Below are 2,348 nucleotides of genomic sequence, written 5' to 3'. Positions count from 1 at the left end.
CAGCTGTGTGGCCTAGGGCAAGTTGCTCCACCAACCTGATCCTCAGTTCCCTTGCCTGTAACATGCTGATAATAACAGCATTTATTCCATAGGACATAGGATCCCCACAACCCCAATTCCTTGGAGCTCAAAAATTAGATGAATCTTGATCCTTGTTCACAGTACTTTCCACCACGGATCCATCCATGACTTTGTCATTTATTTAGTTATGTAACTAGTTATTTCCAATATTGTAATGAGCACCCATGAATCTACCACCAAACAAAAGCTAAGTCTAGGACAATAACCTACATCTTATCAGCTAGTCCCCAGTATCTTATTAACCTCTTCTCCCCACTTCTAAGGTCTACACCATCATGAATCTTGTGTTCCTGATACCCCTGCTTCCCATTTTATTTGGTTTTATGCTTCCATATGTATTTCTAGAAAGTAGGTATATTTTTATCTTAATTGTTTTTTAACTTTATAAAACTTTTAGGGACTTACTTTTTTCCATTTAATGTTATATTGCTAAGAGTCATTCACAGTATTGTGTGTCATTGTAATTTCTTTGTTCTGACTGCTGCATAGTAGTGTATACAAATAAACCATAGTGTAATCATCCATGCTCCCATTGAGGGGTCCTTGGGAAAGGAGAGGGTCCAGACTTTTGCTAGTTAGAACAGGGCTGTTATAGTCCTACTGGTACATGTCAGCCTTTGTACAAGTATAAGAGTTTCTCTTGGGTATGGACCTTCAAGGAGAATCATGGCAGAGAACATGTGAAAGTTCAACTTTAGGAGACAATGCCAAAACATTCTCTAAAGACTCTGTGCTAATCTACAATGCCACAGGCTTCATCCTCTCCAGCACTTAATTGTGTTAGGCTTTCTACTTTTTGCTAATTGAATGAGTATAACATGTTATTTCATTGTGATTTTAATTTTCACTTTTTTTCTTTAACAAATTTTTTTATTTTTAGTTTTTGTGGGTACATAATAGGTACATATATTTATGGGGTACATGAGATGTTTTGATATAGGCACACAATGCATAATAATCACATCATGGGAAATGGGGTATCCATCCCCTCAAGCATTTATCTTTTGTGTTATAAACAATCCAATTATACTCTTTTAGGTATTTTTAAATGTACAGTTAAATTATTTTGACTATAGTCACCCTTTTGTGCTATCATATACTAGGTATTCATAATTTTTTTCACTTTTCTTTTTGAATCTTTTCATAAGTTTATTGGGCATATATGTTTCCTCTTCTGTGAAATGCCATTGGTGCTTTTTTTCCTCATTATTATACTGGTTATTTGTGCTTTGTTAACAAAATTGATTTGTAGCAGTTCTACATATATTCTTGGTACTAAACCTTTGTGGTTGATATTATGAATCTCTTGTCCCAGTTTTTACTTTGTCTTTTTACTTTTTAAAGGTATCTCTTGGTGAACAAATGTTCTTTATTTTGACATAGTTAAATTTATCATTTTATAGTCAACAATTTAAGTGCTTAAGAAAAACTTTAGCTGCGTGTATTAGTCCATTCTTGCATTGCTATAAAGAACTCCCTGAGAATGGGTAATTTATAAAGAAAAGAGGTTAAATGACTCACAGTTCTGCAGGCTGTACAGGAAACATGGCTGGGAAGGCCTCAGGAAACACAATTATGGTGGAAGGCGAAGGGGAAGCAGGAATATCTGCATATGGCCAGTAGGAGAGAGAGAGAAGGGGATGGTACTACACACTTTAAATACAGAACTAGGGGGATGGTGCCAAACCACTAGAAACCACCTCTATGATCCAAGCACCTCCCACCAGGCCTCACCTCCAACATATGGAATTACAATTCAAAATGAGATTTGGGTGGGGACACAGAGCCAAACCATATCACTACTCCAAGGTAGAAAATAGTTACCTGTATTTTACTATAAATTATAAAGTTTCTTTTTTGACATTTAATTCCTGAATCTATCTAGGGTTATTTTTCGGATGTAGTTTGAGGGAGATATTCAAGTTCATTTTTTCCCATATGAATAACTACTTTTTTCCACCTCCATTTGTTTATCAGCCTCCTCTCCTCACTGACCTCCTGTATCCTCTGTAATAAACCAACATTCTTTATTTGCATCCATCTTTTTCTGGGATCTTATTCATACCCCATGGTCTGTTTTTCTGTCTCTGCACCAAAACTACAGGGTTTTAATTGCTCCAGCTTCATAAAAGTCCAGACATCAATAAGGGAAACCCCTGATCACTACCTTTTCAGAAACATCCTATTTTTGGTCTTTTATGCTTTCACATAAGTTTAGAATCATTTTTTCAGGTTCTATTTTTAAAAATATTATTAGGAATTTGACA

Source organism: Homo sapiens, chromosome 2 (assembly GCF_000001405.40).
Source record: "Homo sapiens chromosome 2, GRCh38.p14 Primary Assembly".
Classification (NCBI taxonomy): domain Eukaryota; kingdom Metazoa; phylum Chordata; class Mammalia; order Primates; family Hominidae; genus Homo; species Homo sapiens.
This window is presented reverse-complemented; position numbering follows the sequence as displayed.